This window comes from Homo sapiens, chromosome 20, assembly GCF_000001405.40.
Source record: "Homo sapiens chromosome 20, GRCh38.p14 Primary Assembly".
Lineage (NCBI taxonomy): Eukaryota > Metazoa > Chordata > Mammalia > Primates > Hominidae > Homo > Homo sapiens.
The window spans coordinates 5,129,377-5,147,620 of NC_000020.11; the positions used below are offsets into that span (position 1 = coordinate 5,129,377).

General features: G+C 42.9%; 1 protein-coding gene across 2 annotated transcripts in view, besides 2 other annotated features; it reads left to right on the plus strand.

Annotated features, from left to right (window-relative positions):
* Positions 1-18,244, plus strand: part of CDS2 (CDP-diacylglycerol synthase 2) — a 70,880-nt gene that overhangs the window by 2,369 nt on the left and 50,267 nt on the right. The window lies entirely within an intron of this gene.
* Positions 3,193-3,694: an enhancer, noted in NCBI's record as "H3K4me1 hESC enhancer chr20:5113215-5113716 (GRCh37/hg19 assembly coordinates)". NCBI's record gives its function as "activates a minimal SCP1, AML or CMV promoter by ChIP-STARR-seq in primed H9 embryonic stem cells {active_cell/tissue: H9 hESC(primed)}" and the evidence as "EXISTENCE:reporter gene assay evidence [ECO:0000049][PMID:30033119]".
* Positions 3,695-4,194: an enhancer, noted in NCBI's record as "H3K4me1 hESC enhancer chr20:5113717-5114216 (GRCh37/hg19 assembly coordinates)". NCBI's record gives its function as "activates a minimal SCP1, AML or CMV promoter by ChIP-STARR-seq in primed H9 embryonic stem cells {active_cell/tissue: H9 hESC(primed)}" and the evidence as "EXISTENCE:reporter gene assay evidence [ECO:0000049][PMID:30033119]".

Genomic DNA, 18,244 nt, shown 5'->3' on the forward strand with positions numbered 1-18,244 from the left:
AGCTAGTCTCCTGCCTCAGCCTCCTGAGTAGCTGGGACTATAGGCATCCGCCACCACGCTCGGCTAATTTTTTTTTTTTTTTTTGAGAGGGAGTTTCGCTCTTTTGCCCAGGCTGGAGTGCAATGGCATGATGTTGGCTCATCGCAACCTCTACCTCCCAGGTTCAAGCAATTCTCCTGCCTCAGCCGCCCGAGTAGCTGGGACTGCAGGCGTGTGCTACCATGCCCGGCTAATGTTGTATTTTTAGTAGAGGCACGGCTTCTCAATGTTGGTCAGGCTGGCCTCAAACTCCCAACCTTAGGTGATCCTCCCGCCTCAGCTTCCCAAAGTGCTGGGATTATAGGCATGAGCCACTGTACCTGGCGTTTTTTTTTTTGTATTTTTAGTAGAGATGGGGTTTCACTGTATTGGCCAGGCTGGTCTTGAACTCCTGACTTCGTGATCTGCCCGCCTCGGTCTCCCAAAGTGCTGAGACTACAGACGTGAGCCACCACACCTGGCCATGTTTGGGATTTTTAATAAGGGAACATTTTAAAAACTGTGAAATCTATTATTTGTCTTTGAATGTATATAGTAAACTTTTGTTTGTTGGTTTGTTTTTTTGTTTTTTTTTGAGACAGAGTTTCGCTCTTGTTGCCCAGGCTGGAGTGCAATGGCACAATCTCGGCTCACTGCAACCTCCACCTCCCGTGTTCAAGCAATTCTCCTGCCTTAGCTTCCCCAGTACCTGGGATTACAGGTGCCTGCCATCACGACTGGCTAATTTTTTTGTGTTTTTAGTAGAGACGAGGTTTCACCATGTTGGCCAGGTTGGTCTCGAACTCCTGACCTCAGGTGATCTACCCACTTTGGCCTCCCAAAGTGCTGGGATTACAGGTGTGAGCCACCGTGCCCGGCCCATAGTAAACTTTTAAAAAATCCTGATTTATTCTGTTTCATAGTTTGGGAAACACCTACTTCCATGACTTTGGCTTTGCCAATATTCTTGTGTTAGAACCCAAGGAAATTAGAAATAATAAATTTTAAGGAAATGCATTATGAAACAAGAACTTTTTAATTTCATAGTAGAAGAATCCAGTGAACAATTTTCAAGTCAGTGCTTTAAAAGCTCTGGAATAGGCTGGGCGCGGTGGCTCACGCCTGTAATCCCAGCACTTTGGGAGGCTGAGGTGGGCAGATCACCTGAGGTCAGGAGTTCGAGACCAGCCTGACCAACGGGGTTTTAGTAGAAACCCCGTCTCTACTAAAAATACAAAATTAGCCGGGCGTGGTGGTGCATGCCTGTAATCCCAGCTACTCAGGAGGCTGAGGCAGGAGAATCGCTTGAACTTGGGAGGCAGAGGTTCCGGTGAGCCGAGATTGCGCCGTTGCACTCCATCCAGCCTGGGCAACAAGAGCCAAACAACGTCTTAAAAGAAAAGAAAAGCTCTGGAGGCTGGGCGTGGTAGCTCACGCCTGTAATCCCAGCACTTTGGGAGGACGAGGCGGGTGGATCACGAGGTTAGGAGATCGAGACCATCCTGGCTAACATGGTGAAACCCCATCTCTACTAAAAATACAAAAAATTAGCCGGGCGTGGTGGTGGGCGCCTGTAGTCCCAGCTACTCGGAAGGCTGAGAGGCAGGAGAATGGCGTGAACCTGGGAGGCGGAGCTTGCAGTGAGCCGAGATGGCGCCACTGCACGCCAGCCTGGGCGACAGAGCAAGACTCTGTCTTAAAAAAAAAAAAAAAAAAAGCTCTGGAGTAAACTTGAAAGATTCCTCAAAATGTTACAGTTGCTTAACTGCTGTGGCAAAACTGTCTTGTAAATAGAAAATCATTAGTATCAAAATAATCTGGAGCATGTTTATTTATAAAAGTCAGAAGGTATTTTGTTATATTTAGCATCTGAGAATGGAATTTTCAAAGCCAATTGCTAATAAAGGAAATGTTCTCCTCTGGGAACTGTGCTTATAATTTTAAAGTCCCAAAGCACAGTATAGTTGCCAAACTAAGAAACTTGGAGTTTAGGCTTTGGGAATGATCCTCTTCCTACCCAACCATATTTTTCTGATGGAGCTTAGGAAAGCAAAGGATGAGATATGGTCTGAAAGATTGGCATCTTAAAATTTATGATTGAGTTGGCATTTCAGGAGATTTTGTTTCGGAAGTTAGCGTATAGGTTCTGGGGTTTTCTGCTTTACTTAATTGCTGAAGTGCTATTTAAATTAGAGCTTTACTTATTTCAAGGCTTCCTTTCTAGATAGATGAAACCCATATGGAGAGGAAATAGTGACATCATTTAGAAAGGGGAGTTTAAATCTTAACTGAAGATAGCGTGTAAGAGCAGGGGCTTGGGTCAGTTACATCTACCTTGAGCCTGGGCTCCGCCACATAAAGGCTGTGTAACTTTGAGTAGATCATGGAAGTTGTGGCAGCCTCAGTTTGTCCATCATTAAAATGGGGGTCATAAAATTGTATGTGCTTTACAGGATATTCATGTGGATTAAACGTATGTATGGGCTGACAGCAGAGCTTGTCACATAATATGTTAGCTATGTTGCTACTGATTAAAATAGATTTTTATAGAAAAAACTTTAATATTCATCTTACACACTTGAAAGGTGATTAAATCTTCAAGTTATATATATTTGTAGAACCTATTCATATTCATTACCTTTTAAGGAAAGTTTTATAGAAAGGACTTAGCCTTCTATGACCTATCTTCGGTTTATTTTCAATTTTAATTTTTTTTTTTTTGAGATGGAGTCTCGCTGTGCCACCCAGGCTAGAGTGCATTGATGTGTTCTTGGCTCACTGCAGCCTCTGCCTCCTGGGTTCAAGTGATTCTCCCATCTCAGCCTCCCGAGTAGCTGAGATTACAGTCACATACCTCCACGCCCAACTAATATTTTTATTTTTAGTAGAGACAAAGTTTCACCATGTTGGTCAGGCTGGTCTCAAACTCCTGACCTCAGGTGATCCACCCGCCTTGGCCTCCTGAAGTGCTGGGATTACAGGCGTGAGCCACCGCGCCCGGCCTCTTTTTGGTTTATTTTCTTGTGGAATTTTTCAGTACTCCGAATCACAGGCTTTAACTGTAGAAGGACCACTGAACACTGTTGTATGCAATTACCTTCTTTTATAATTAAAAATGGTTTTCAATAGACTTTGAGATTGAACTACTCAAATAAAATATTAAAGAACTATAACTACTTCAGGTATAAGAGAAATGCTTAATTTTTTTCAAGAAAATTTTTTTATGTTGAGAAATAATTTAGGAATTAAAAAAATCAGTAAACCTTAACTATGATTCCCAGGCTTAACAGGGAGAGGAGGTGAAAGATTATTTTCTCATATAACCAATTATTTTATGTTTCTTATTTTTGTTGCTCAAACAGTATGATTTTATTTTAAAAACTCAATTACTGCATGATTTTTGACTATTTAAAATTAGTTTTTCCAAAATCTATTTTTAAAAAATGTTTTGTGTTTGCCCAGGTTAACATGGTATTTCATTAGAAGAATTTTTATCGGCCGGGCGCGGTGGCTCACGCCTGTAATCCCAGCACTTTGGGAGGCTGAGGCGGGCGGATCACGAGGTCAGGACATTGAGACCATCCTGGCTAAGACGGCAAAACCCCTTCTCTACTACAAAAAAAAAAAAAAATTAGCTGGGTGTGGTGGCGCCCGTAGTCCCAGCTACTCAGGAGGCTGAGGAGAATGGCGTGATGGCGTGAACCCGGGAGGCGGAGCTTGCAGTGAGCCGAGATCCCACCACTGCACTCCAGCCAGGAGGACAGAGCGAGACTTCATCTCAAAAAAAAAGAATTTTTATCATCTTTAAAAAATGTTAAATTGCTCTCCTTGGTTGTTAGGACTAGAAGGGACTTTAAAGGTGTTTTTTATTTTTAGGAACAGGGTCTCACCTTGTTGCCCAGGCTGGAGTGTAGTGGCACAGTCATAGCTCACTACAGCTTTAAACTCCTGAGCTCAAGCCATCCTCCTACCTCAGTCTCCTGAGTAGCTCAGGACTACAGGCCTGAGCCATGGCACCCGGCTTGAGGTAGTTATTTTATAGAAGAGGATGCCACAGCTCAGAGAGTTTAAGTTATTAGCTCAAGATGACTTAGTTGGTTAGATACAGAATGGTTCGTATTATGAAGGTCTTCTATTTATTTATTTTTTGAGACGAAGTTTCGCTGTTGTTGGCCCAGGCTGGAGTGTAATGGTATAATCTCAGCTGACCGCAACCTCTGCCTCCTGGGTTCAAGCAATTCTCCTGCCTCAGCCTCCTGAGTAACTGGGATTACGGGCATGCCACCACGCCCAGCTAATTTTGTATTTTTAGTAGAGATGGGGTTTCTCCATGTTGGTCAGGCTGGTCTCGAACTCCTGACCTCAGGTGATACTCCCGCCTTGGCCTACCAAAGTGATGGGATTACAGGCGTGAGCCACCGCGCCTGGCCTATGAAGGTCTTCTAATTCCCGGTTGTTGTTTTTTATTTTTTTCTCATAGAATTAATTTACAGACTTTAAAAGCTTCTTTATTGATTAACATTGATAGATATGATACCCAAATGTTACCTATTTTTCTTATTTGGCTACAAAATCAAAAAAATACTATATAAATCTTTCAAAATGTTAAATGTTAAAAAGGTCTCAGAGTAAATGTGGAGACTCTTTGCAGAAAAAAATGTATGTGTTTTATAGAGAAAGTTGATTAGTTTCAGTTTTCCTGGTTATCGGATGACTGTGATTTAGACATTTGTGAGCACTTTCCTGGGAGTGGCCACTCTGGTATCCTTGAAAGGCACTCCCGGCGCAGTGCTTGAAGACCACAAGGCGCCTTACCCAGGCAGTGGGTGAGGGTGCTTGGAAGAAATGCTTTCCAGTTAATGACTGTTAGCATGAGAACCATTTGTTCTAGTAATAAGCAGTCATTCAGTATTCAACGCTTCTCTTTAGAACATTCACTGACTGTAGGGTCTGCTATGGACGGTGTCTGTATTTCTGAGAGGGGCTGGTGTTATCAGTGTTCATAAGGATATTATTCAGAATTTTATTGCCTGTTTTGACTCCACATAATCAATTTTTTCCCTACTGATTTAAAGAAATAATACAATCTTTTTTAAATCAATAATATTTAAGAGTTTTATTTTTATTTATCTATTTATTTTTTGAGATGGAGTTTCTCTCTTGTTGCCCAGGCTGGAGTCCAATGGCGTGATCTCAGCTCACTGCAACCTCTGCCTCCCGAGTTCAAGTGATTCTCCTGCCTCAGCCTCCCGAGTAGCTGGGATTACAGGCGCCCACCATCACACCCAGCTAATTTTTATATTTTTAGTAGAGACAGGGTTTCACCATGTTGGCCAGGCTGGTCTCAAATTCCTGACTTCAGGTGATCTGCCTGCCTTGGCCTTCTACAATGCTGGGATTACAGGCATGAGCCACCGTACCCAGCCGACTGCATATTTAAATTGGTAAGGTAGAAAATGAGCATGAGAGTCTAACAGCTGATGGATATGGGAACATAATACTTGATAAAATCATTCAGAATATGTTTGATAAACAAGAAGATTGTATAAAACCTGCACTGTCCTACTAATGTAAAGCATTTCTCCTCCCTCACTTTATTCTCAACCTTACAACTGCCAGAAATTATATAATCTTGAATATATTTGAGAAACTCTTTTTAAAATGAATCTTGTAACTAATTTCTTTTTTGAATTTATATATATAAATATATACATACTTATTTTATAATAGAGACAGGGTCTTAAAATGTTGACCATTGAACTCCTGGGTTCAAGCGATCTTCTCGCCTCGGCCTCTCAAAGGGCTGGTACAGCGTGAGCCACCGTGCCCGGCCATTGTAACTAATTTCACAGGGCAGATAATCATCCTTTAAACTGTTTGAAAAGATTTGAGTGTTACTGTTTCTGGTTTTCACACTTTTCCATCTTTTCTAGGATCCACGTAGGTGGAGGAGATTCCTCTCCACAGTTTGTTAAGCTACATTCTATGTTGTTAAGGTCTCCCAGCCCTTCTGGACTGGCACTAGAGGCTGTTGGGGGTGAAAAAGTACAGCTGTTTGTGTGTCATACTGCCTCTGGTTCAGAAAAGAGACGGACACTGACTCTTCACTATTAATTTTGCCAAAGTCTCCTTGAAAGAATGCTAATTTGTTCCTGGCACTGGGCAGGGTTCCTGCCTTCCAAGTCTTGTCATGTGGTGGTTACTTGGCTGGGGTAATAGTGAGGCACCCCCTCCCCACCCCCACGTATGGTCCCCACCGGGCAGCTTCCTATGCCAGTCACTGATATTTGTTCTCATGTTGTTTGCCCCAACAGTAGGGATGGCATTGAGCCCACTAAGTTGACTGACCTTTTGAAGAAAGTTAAACTTTATGGTGTTATTTTGAGTAGGCAGTCTGTGGTGCAGAATTTGTAGGCAGCAAAGGGTATTCTGTGAAGTTTCCTTTCTCCCGCCTGCCTCTCCCCAGGGACAGCCTCATGCCACACTGTGGTTCTCATGAGCACTGCTGTCTGTGTGGAAGGACCTGACCTGTCCTACCAAAGTCAGACATCTTTTTGATTTGTTGTCTTTGGCAGAAGCTCCTTTGTATTAAGGTCTCCATAGGGCCAGCTTGGGGCTTCTCTGTAAAGACTTTGCTGAGGTTTTGAGAGTTCCTGGGACTTGGGATTTACGGGCAACACTCTCTGCCCCTGGGTCTCTGATGTGGAGAGGATGTCTGCCATTGACACCGAACCCCTGAGTGGGCAACTCTCAGAGCCATATCTCCACAGTCCATGCCTGGCTAGTCCTGTGGTTTCAGTGGTCTACAAGACATTCCTAGGTGCATGCCCTTCAGTCCACACAAACTGACTTTGTCTCAAATCTGAATTCTCTCATTCTACTCTTACCACCCTCCTTCAGTTTCTTTCTTCTGCGATAAAATCCCAGATGACTCGGTTACTCAGGCTTGAAATCTCCTATTCCTTTGTTCCCGTGCCCAGGGCAGGATGCAGATTCTAACCAGGTGTGACTTGGAATCCTTATCTGTTTGTTGTTTGTTGTCTGTTTGTTGCTCTTGGAGACTTCAACATTTCAGGACTGCAGTATTGTAAATGCCTGCAGTATCCTAAATCCGAATTCCTTACCTCTCCTGGAATCCTTATCTGTCTTTTACTCTTTGAGATTTCCCAAATTTCAGGATTTATTGCTTGCCTTATTGTAAACCCTGTGAATTGAGCTCCCTCCTGTTAGGATTTGCTCTAGGTCCCTCCTAATCCATCTTGTTCTTTGTATCTTTCAGGAGTTCTGAAACTGCCCTAATAATTATTGGGGGGGTGGGGTGGAGTGATAGAATTCTGGCTCTTTTTCATAATGCTTAAACTTTAAGATCCTTTGTAGTCTTCTGTCTCTCATTTCCTTCCAATTCTTGTTTTAGGTTCAGGGGATACATGTGCAGGTTTGGTACACGGGCAAATTGCACATTGCTGAGGTTTGGTGTACAAATGATTTTGTCACCTAGGTAGTGAGCATAGTACTAGATGGGTAGTTTTTCAATCCTCACCAGCCTCCCACTCTCCACCCTCAAGCCCTGGTGTCTCTTGTTCCCCTCTTTGTGTCCATGTGTAGCTCCCAGTTCACTCTGCAAGTGAGAACATGTAGTGTTTGGTTTTCTCTTCTTGCATTAATTTGCTTAGGATAATGACCCCTAGCTGCATCCATGTTGCCACAAAGGATATGATTTTATTCTTTTTTATGTAGCCTTCTCTCTTAACTGGCCTTTCTCCCTGCTTGGTGCCTCTGTGTCATGGATCTTGATTCTTGCTCTTTCCTACCTCTGAAATGTGTTCTTTCTGTCACCCTCCCTCATTTCTACCCTTTTTTTTTTTTTGAGATGGAGTCTCGCCCTGTCGCCCAGGCTGGAGTGCAGTAGCGTGATCTCGGCTCACTGCAGCCTCCGCCTCCCAGGTTCAAGCAATTCTCCTGCCTCAGCCTCCCTAGTAGCTGGGACAACAGGTGCTTGCTACCACACTTGGCTAATTTTTGTATTTTTAGTAGAGTTGGGTTTCACCATGTTAGCCAGGCTGGTGTCGAAGGCCTGACCTCAAGTGATCTGCCCGCCTTGGCCTCCCAAAGTGCTGAGATTACAGACATGAGCCACCACACCTGACCTTTCTACCTATTTAAGTCTTATTTTTTCAAAAATTATCTCAGAGCATCTCTGGCTAGAAGAGACGTAAGCATGTATTATTAAAAATTACAGAAGTAGGTCTCTACAAAAATATTTTTTAAAATTTGCTGGGCGTGGTGGTGCACGCCTGTAGTCCCAGCTACATGGGAGGCTGGGGCAGGAGGATCACTTGAGCCCAGGAGTTTGAGGCTGCAGTGTAGCCCACTGCACTACCATAACCTCAAACATTTATCATTTCTTTTTTGTTTTTTTTTTGAGACGGAGTCTCGCTCTGTCGCCCAGGCTGGAGTACAGTGGCACGATCTCGGCTCACTCCAAGCTCCGACTCCCGGGTTCACGACATTCTCCTGCCTCAGCCTCCCGAGTAGCTGGGACTACAGGCACCCGCCACCATGCCCAGCTAATTTGCATATTTTTAGTAGAGATGGGGTTTCGCTATGTTAGCCAGGATGGTCTTGATCTCCTGACCTCGTGATGCGCATGTCTCAGCTTCCCAAAGTGCTGGGATTACAGGCATGAGCCACCGCGCCTGGCCACATTTATCATTTCTTTAAATTTTTTTTTTTTTTTTGTAGAAACAGGATCATGCTGTGTTGCTCAGGCTGGTCTCGAACTCCTGGCCTCAAGTGATCCTCTTTCCTCAGCCTCCTAAAGTGCTGGGATTACACATGAGCCACCATACCCAGCCTCGAGTTGATTTTTGTATATGGAGAGAGATAGGATAGGGTTCTAGTTTCACTCTTTGGCATATAGATATCCAGTTTTCACAGCACCATTTATTGAAGAGGCTGTCCTTTTCCCAATGTGTGTTCTTGGTTCCTTTGTGGAAAATGAGTTGACTGTAAATGCATAGATTTATTTCTGAGTTCTCAGTTCTGTTCTATTTGTCTGGGTGTCTGTTTTAATTTAATTTAATTTGTTAATTAATTTTATTTATTTTTGAGATGGAGTTTTGCTCTTGTCACCCAGGCTGGAGTGCAATGGCGCCATTTTGGCTCACTGCAACCTCTGCCCTCCAGATTCAAGCCATTCTCCTGCCTCAGCCTCCCAAGTAACTGGGATTACAGGCATGCACCACCATGCCCAGCAAATTTTTGTATTTTTAGTAGAGACAGGGTTTCACCACACTGGCCAGGCTGGTGTCGAATTCCTGACCTCAGGTGATCCACATGCCTTAGCCTCCCAAAATGCTGGGATTACCTGGGAGGCTGAGGCAGGAGAATCGCTTGAATCTGGGAGGTGGAGGTTGCAGTGAGCCAAGATCGCACCACTGCACTGCAGTATGGTTAAAATGACCGTACTACCTAAAACAATGTGCAGATTCACAGATATTTTTTAAATCCTGAAATCTGTATGGGATCACAAAAGATCCCAAATAGCCAAAGTGATCCCAAGCAAAAAGAACAAAGCTGGAGACATCACACTACCTGATTTCAAAATGTACTGTGAAGCTATCGCAACCAAAACAACATGGTATTGGCATAAAAACAGACACACAGGCTGGGCGTGGTGGCTCATGCCTGTAATCCCAGCACTTTGGGAGGCCAAGGTGGGTGGATCACTTGAGGCCAGGAGTTCGAAACCAGCCTGGCCAAAATGGTGAAACCTCATCTTTGCTAAAAGTACAAAAATTAGCCCGGTGTGGGAGCCTGCACCTGTAATCCTAGCTACTTGGGTGGCTGAGGCTAGAACTTGGATTTGCTAGAATTGCATTGCTAGAACTTGGGAGGTGGAGGCTGTAAGTGAGCCGAGATCATGCCATAGCACTCCAGCCTAGGCAACAGAGCCAAGACTCTGTATCAAAAACAAACAAAAAAAGAAATGCTACTGATTTTTGTATGTTGTTTTTGTGTCCTACAACTTTAGTGAATTAGTTTATCAGTTCCAAGAGTTTTTTGGTGTTTTTCAGTTTTTCTATATGTGAGACCATGCCATTTGCAAAGAAGGATAGTCTGACTTCTTCCTTTCTAATTTGGATGCTCTTTATTTCTTTCTCTTGCCTAATTTCCCTGGCTATGATTTCCAATACTATGTTGAATAAGATTGGTGAAAGTGGACATCCTTGTCTTCTAGTGCTTAGAGGAAGGCTTTCAGCTTTTGCCTATTCAGTATGATGTTAGCCTTGGGTTTGTCATATATGGCCTTTATTATGTTGAGGTAGGTTCCTTCTGTACTTAATTTATTGAGAGTTTTTATTGTGAACCGTTGTTGAATTTTACAAGTGCTTTTTCAGCATCCTTTTTTTTTTTTTTTTTGAGATGGAGTCTCACTCTATTGCCCAGGCTGGAGTGCAGTGGCACGATCTCAGCTCGCTGCAACCTCCACCTCCCGGGTTCAAGCAGTTCTCCCTGCCTCAGCCTCACGAGTAGCTGGGATTACAGGCGCCTGCCACCACGCCCAGCTAATTTTTGGTATTTTTTAGTAGAGACAGGGTTTTGCCATGTTGGCGAGGCTGGTCTTGAACTCCTGACGTCAGGCGATCTGCCCACCTTGGGTTCCCAACGTGCTGGGATTACAGGCGTGAACCGCTGCACCCGGCCAGCATCAATTGAAATGATCATATGGTTTTTGTCCTTTATTCTGTTGATATAGCATCATTTTTATTGATGTGCCATTTTCATTTTGTGGCTGTATCTCACCTTATTGAACCAAGCAGGCATTTAAGTTGTTTTAAGGTTTTTGCTATTGTAAGTAATGCTGCAGTATGGTATTCTTAGATAAGTGCCTTTGTTTGGAACTGCTGACTCAAAGGGATGTACTTTGTTTAGGTTTTGATACAATTAATATATTCCCTTCTGCAGTAAATTTGTAGCCACTCTGAATGCCTGTCTTTGTGATCTCTCCTCCCTGCAGAGTAATACTGAGTATTCACTTGTTTCTTGATTTTAGCAGAGGCATTTTAGTCTACTGATTACAATCATAAACTCAGGAGTTGGACTCCTTGGTTTATAGCCTAGTTCAATCATTAAGTTGTGTCTGTTTTCTCACCTGAACAATAGGGCTGAGAATACTATCAACCTTATAGGGTTGTTCCGAGGCATTATCATTTCTTTCCTTTACAAATTGTGTCTTAGAGCTCAAGTAGTTGATTAGGGAAAGTTTCTCTTCATAGAATAGATGATGAAGTGATATAATTAAAATACTTAAAATTTCCAATCCCCAATGAATTGATAGAATGAGGCAGTAATCATCAATGCTGCTACCATCACAGAAACAACCAAATACTATGTACCTCCTGATGGAGAAATCTTGTCATAAAATCATATTTGAGCTTGATCAAGACTCTAGTTCTAAGTGCTGGTTTATAGGAAATTCAAGAGACTGAAGATCACATGGACCTGGTTGCTTTAGTAAATAAGTGTGTGTGTGTAAATTTCTTTTTCCATGTCTGTGATTTCCTGGCTTATAATTCTGAAAGCCCTTATTAAAGTCTCTTGTTATAACTTTGGGGCACTTGGAAACTCAGAAGCAGGCCTCCAAAAATAAAATCTCCCTCTCTGACCATCTCCTCCTCCCCTTTCTCCTGCTCCTTTCTCTCCCCAAGGCAGGAATCTTCTCCTGCCTTTCTATCTTGGAGCTGGCCATAAAAAATTATCTGGCTTTCCTTGTTTGATTGCTATAAGACCCTCATTTCAAAACCCTATATCCTGGAGGAAAGACTGCTGCACAGGGAGGCTAAGAAGAATCTGAACAGACAGGCCTTGCTGGGTTTCCCCACTTAGTCTATTAGTATTAGATAGTATCCTTTTTGTTTAGTCACATTTCTGCATGGTTGTCCATGCAATGTGTGCATCTAATGAAGTCTCTATAAAAGGCTTTAGAGGACAGGGTTCAGGGAACTCCTGAGTAGCTGAACATGTGGAGGCTTACAGGAAGGTGAACACATGCTGGGGGGGTGGTGCACCCCAGCTCCACTGGGACAGAAGCTCTTGCACTGGAGACTCCGAAGCTCTTGCAATGGGGACTCTTCCAGACCTCTCCCTATATATCTCTTCATCTGGCTGTATATTTGTATCCAATATGCAAATATTGTATATTTGTATCCAATATACAATATTGTATTGGGTGGGGGGTGATGGGGACTCCAGCTTGAAACTGGTAGATCAGAAATTCTTGAGCCTCAGATCTACAACTGATGGAAAAGAGGGGGTGGTCATGTGGGACTGAGCTCTCAACCTGTGGTTTCTGAAGCTATCTCTAGGCAAATAGTGGCTGAAGTGAATTGAATTGGATGGTACCCAGCTACTGTCCGCTGCAGAATTGATTGCTTGTTGAGTGTGTGGGGAGACATCCAAAACATTTGGTCACAGAAGTCTTCTGTGATTGTTGTTACAGTGTGAGAACAGAGGGAAAAAAAACGAGTTTGAGTTTTACCACTTTCACACACTACTCTCTCTGATTTCAAAAAACATGGAAGAGTGGGGAGTGATAGAGATAGATATGAAAGGTAAAACATATAGATTAAAAGACTTTAGGTGCTGGTTCACTTGTGCCTGTAATTCCAGCGCTCTAAAGGCTGAGGTGGGAGGATGGCTTGAGGCCAGGAGTTCAAGACAAGCCTGAGCAATAGAGTGAGACCCTATCTCCTAAATAAAATATTTAAGGCCGAGTGCGGTGGCTCACATCCATAATCCCAGCACTTTGGGAGGCTGAGGCAGGTGGGTCAATTGAGGTCAGGAGTTTGAGACCACCCTGGCCAGCATGGTGAAACCCCATCTCTACTAAAAATAGAAAAATTAGCCTGGCATGATGGTGCATGCCTGTAATCCCAGCTGCTCGGGAGGTTGAGGCAGGATAATCGCTTGAACCCAGGAGGTGGAGGTTGCAGTGAGCCAAGATCACGCCACTGCATTCCGACCTGGGTAACAGAGCAAGACTCCATCTAAAAAAAAAAACTTAAGGCATATTAATGATTTCTGGATCTAATTTGGATCCTGATCCAATCAAACTGCAATAAAGAGAAAGAATTGAAGTTATTGGGTAAATTTGAATATTGGATATTTAAAATAAAGGAATTGTTAATTTTTTAGGTGTGATATTGGCATGGTGATGTATATTCCTCCTGTATAAAAAGCACTAACCATAAAAGAAACTGTTGGTAAATTGAGCAACATTAAAATTAAGAACTTATGTTTATTGAACCACAGTATTAAGAGTGAAAAGGAAGGCCACAGGCAATGAGAAGATATTTATAACAAATGTATCTGATGCAGGGCTAATTTCTAGAATCTATAAATAATTACTTCAAAATAAATGTATATAAAAAGACAACTCAGTAGAAAAATGGGCACTTTGTTTTTTTATTTTTTTTGAGACAGGTTCTCACTCTGTTGCCCGGTTGGAGTGCAGTGGCTCACCAAAGCCTCAAACTGCTGGGATCAAGGGATCCTCCTGCCTTTGCCTCCCTAATAGCTGGAAATACAGGCAAACACCACCATGTCTGGCTAATTTTTGTATTTTTTTGTAGAAACAGAGTCTCACTATGTTGACCAGGCTGGTCTTGAACTCCTGGGCTCAAGCATTCCTCCTGCCTCAGCCTCCCACAGTGCTGGTATTATTGGTGTGAGCTACCATGCCCAGCCAAAAATGGGCACTTCAGATGATCAATAAACATGAAAAGATGCCTAGTATCATTAGCCATCTGAGAGGTGCAAAATTAAAACCCTCGATAAGATACAACTGCACACCCACTAGATTGGCTAAAATTAAAAAGAATGAAAACTTTGACGGTTGGCAAGTATATGGAGCAAGAGGACCTTTCATAGACTGCTTGAGGGAGTATAGATTGGCACAATCATTCTGGAAAACTGCTTGACAATATTTACTAAAGCTAAATATACACAGACTTTGTGACCAAGCAGTTCCACTCTTAGGTGATTGCCCAGTAGAAATCTGTACATGTATTCACTGAAAGTCAAGTTCCAGAACATTCAAAGCAGTGTTCTTTGTAGTAGCCCCAAACTTCAAACAATCCAAATTGTGAATAATGCTGCTAGGAACATGAGTGTACAAATATCTGTTTGAGTCTCTGCTTTCAGTTCTTTTTCTTTTTCTTCTTCTTCTTCTTCTTTTTTTTTTTTTTTTTGAGACAGAGTCTTGCTCTGTCATCCAGGCTGGAGTGCTGTGAATAATGCTGCTAGGAACATGAGTGTACAAATATCTGTTTGAGTCTCTGCTTTCAGTTCTTTTTCTTTTTCTTCTTCTTCTTTTTTTTTTTTTTTGAGACAGAGTCTTGCTCTGTCATCCAGGCTGGAGTGCAGTGGCATGATCTTGGCTTACTACAACCTCTGCCTCCTGGGTTCAAGCGATTTTTGTGCCTTAGCCTCCCGAGTAGCTGGGACTTCAGGACTGTGCCACCATGCTCTGCTAATTTTTGTATTTTTTGTAGAGACAGGGTTTTCCCATGTTGGCCAGGCTGGTCTTGAACTGCTGGCCTCAAGTGATCCGCCCACCTTGACTTCTCAAACTGCTGGGATCATAGGCATGAGCCACCACGCCCCCGCCTGCTTTCAGTTCTTTTGGGTATATACCCAGAAGAACTGGATTGCTGGATCATATGGTAATTCTGTTTAATTTTTGGGGAACTGCCACACTTGGGTATTCTTGTATTTTAGAAACTTCTTGGTTTTAATTTCTTCTGTAGATATAATCTACATAAACAACTATTGGGATCCTCAGTAATTCAAGAACTACTTTAATGAACTGTATTATCAAGGAGAGGGTTGAAGCAGCCATTGTCAGTGAGTGTAGAAAGTGATAACGTGGGTGAGTTGGGTGACATACTCTTTTGCTCTCAAGTGACCCAGTTTGGGTGATATATTATATGGCCCCCCTAGTAATGGAGTTCATATTAGGCAGATGGTCACACTTGGTAATGAGGTCGCCTTAGTGTTGGTGTTCCTGTGGAGCTCCCTGAACTCGCAAACTTTAATCTTCCTATGATGGCCAACCTTGGTGGACCAAGGTTTAGAATGAAAGAAATTGCTTTGGAGACTACATATCTCTTTTGAGATTTGACATACTTACCAAAATGAGTAATGATTCTGACGTTCTTCCAGTGTTATTTGAAATTCAACATGAAACTTTTCCTACATGTTTCTTTGTTAAAAATGTTGAGTAAATTTTGAGACAAAATGTACATTTTTTTCATATAAACATTGAAACCATCATGTTGAGGATTACATGCATTCTGTGAAGTTTGTGTATTAACAATCCGTGTATGTCTTCCCAGGAAAATGTTAACTGCAGAGGGTTTCCAACTGTGTTGGCTTGATCCGGTCCTTTCCCCTCTGGCTTGCAGAACATAACACTTCCTCCCTAAGTGAGGCAGCATGAAGCCCCATCCAGTTACTACTATTGTGAGTGGCTCAGAGTTCAGCATCACAGTTTAATGCCCAGTAGTCTCCTTCTTAGGTCTAGTGACTGTGCACCAAAGGGTTATCTGTCCTCCCTTTCCCCTCCAACTGCATTTGTGGAAGAGGAACAGGATGGAGTAGGGCAGAATAACCAAAATAAGCTTTCCTATTCTGACAAGGAAAGAATGGGGAGACAAGACACAGTAGTGTCTTGGCTCACCTCTCTCCTGAGTGGAAATTGGACTAAGATCTCTGGGCGCGTAGATGGAGTCTTTTGCCCGGTAGACCTCATTTTAGGGCGAATGGGTAGAAAGGAAAGACCCCCCCCCCCGCCCCCGCCACCAAATCCAAGAATTGGGAGAGTTCCATTCTAGCGCTCAATATTCATGCTGGAAGCTTAAATTAACCCAGATGGTCTGTTTGGTTTATTTAAAGATAAAACTAGTTTTGAGCCTGGAGGAATAGCCACGTTCTCTGCAGGTGAGTCTGGGAATAGAGCTTGTAATTTGCATAGTTGTTTCAGTGTACAGACCTTCAATTTCTGTTACAATCCCTAGTTCTTGCTCTCATCCACTATCCCGTTTGCCAGATATTGGTCTGGAGCTTCTCCAGGGTTTCAGAGGGCAGACGCTCCTTCTTCCTCCAGAGCCTTCCTGAAGTACACTCTTGGCTGCATTTTCTGTTTTGTTTCATCCATCTTAGCTCTTCAGACTATTTTGTCATCCAGAAATTTGCTGAAATCTCACATCCACTGGTGATGCCTGTCCCCTGCTGTTTCTAAGGCCATAGTGTCCTTCCTTGCTGTACTTACTGACATTCATTTCATTGGGATATTGGGGCCCAAAGCATGGGCTTTATCTCCTATCTTCTGCAGGAAGTTCCAAGTTGTGTGTTTTGCTTTTTGTGTTTTTTTTTTTTTTTTTTTGAGACAAAGTCTCGCTCTGTTGCCCAGGCTAGAGTTCAGTGGTGTAATTATGGCTTACTACAGCCTTGACCTCCCACACTCAGTCAACCCTCCCATCTCAGCCTATGGAGGATCTGGAGCCATAGGCATGCGCCACCATGCCCAGCTATTTTTTAAATTTTTGTAGAGATGGGGTCTCACTATGTTGCCTAGGCTGGTCTCAAACTCCTGGGCTCAAGTGATCCTCCCACCTTGGCCTCTCAAAATGTTGGGATTACAGACATGAACCACTGCGCCCATCCAATTTTGAGAAACTGAGCTGGCATTACAACATAGAAGCAGGCAGTTGCAACACTTTTGTTGACATTTTTTAGTTTTGTTTTGTGTATGTGATGAAGGATAAAAATGGTTCCTCTTGATTGATGACACTTGTGAATTCTGGGCTTCTGCTCTTGGCATTAAGATAGGCAGGTGCTGACAATGACCCTGGGAATTGCTTGTGTTTAGTTTGAGGTGGGTGATGAAGCAGAGGAGTCAGGGAAGGAAACCGATGAAAGAGTCAGGAGAGTTTGGGGTGCTACCAAAGCCTGAATGTTTTTGAGAGGGAGGAAGAGGTCAGTGTCAAGTGCAATGGGAGGGTGTTGAGTAGCGTAAGGAGACGTGGTTTATCCCACCCTTGTGTGCTTCCCACGGTGGCCCAGATGACAGATGAAGATGCTGTCATCTTAGGTAATAGGACCTAAGTTTTTTTGAGCAGTAAACCTTTATAAAATACATTTGCTATTTTCTGGATGTTGCTGTTATTTATGATTTTTTTAGCGTCTATTCTTTTATGAAATAACTACCACTTTGCGTTTATAACCTGTTTCTTTAAACCATTACAACAAAATTTCAGGCTTTTATACCAAAAAATAGTCCATGTCTGTTTAACTGCAAATGACCAAAAACTAAATATAATAAACAAGCTAGAAGTTTATTTTTCCTCACTTAAAAGAAGTCTGGAGGTCAGAATTCTAGCAGCTTCACAGTGTGTAGGATTCAGGTTTTGACTCTCTTGCCCTTCTACCTTCCTGAGTGTGTGGCTTCTATCTCTAGTATAGGATGGCTGCTAGAATTCCAGCCATCACTTCATACTTCAGTAAGGAGGAAGGAGAGAGAGGTCTGCTCCTTTCCTGTAAGGATACTTTCTGAAAAACGCATGATTTCTGCTCACATGTCATTGGCCAGAACTAATTTGCATGTTCTTACCTAACTGCAAGGGAAGCTGGGAAATGTCCCTCCTGAGGGGTCATGTGCTTGGCTAAGCATTGAGGTTTCTATTACAGTGGAAGAAAAGGAGAATGGATGTTGGGAGACAACTAGCAGTCTCTGAGAACTCTTAAAGGCCTGAAGATGCCTGTTAAAAATGGACAGATCTAAGATGCAATACAGAGGAGATGCTGGGAGATTATAAGGATGGAGAGTAGATGAGACCAGTTGTGGTTGCTGGGAGTCTTCATTAGTAGTGGTAAGAGCTGATTCAATGACAGCCAGGCAGAAAGGGAAGGGGAACTGTTTTGTAGGTTTGGGGATAGGAAAGAGGGGGGTCAAGTATAGTCATAAGCAGCTGCCTGCACATCAGTAGTGGAGCCCAGGAGAGCACAGGCCTTGCAGGTCCTTTGGTGTGTGGTACATAAACGTGTGGTAAATAGAGGGATTAATCTGCAGAAAACTCCCTGCATCTCAGTAGCTCTCAAGTATGTCCAGGCCCACTTCTTTCTTTTTATTTTTGTAGGGGCTCCCTATGTTGCCCAGGCTGGT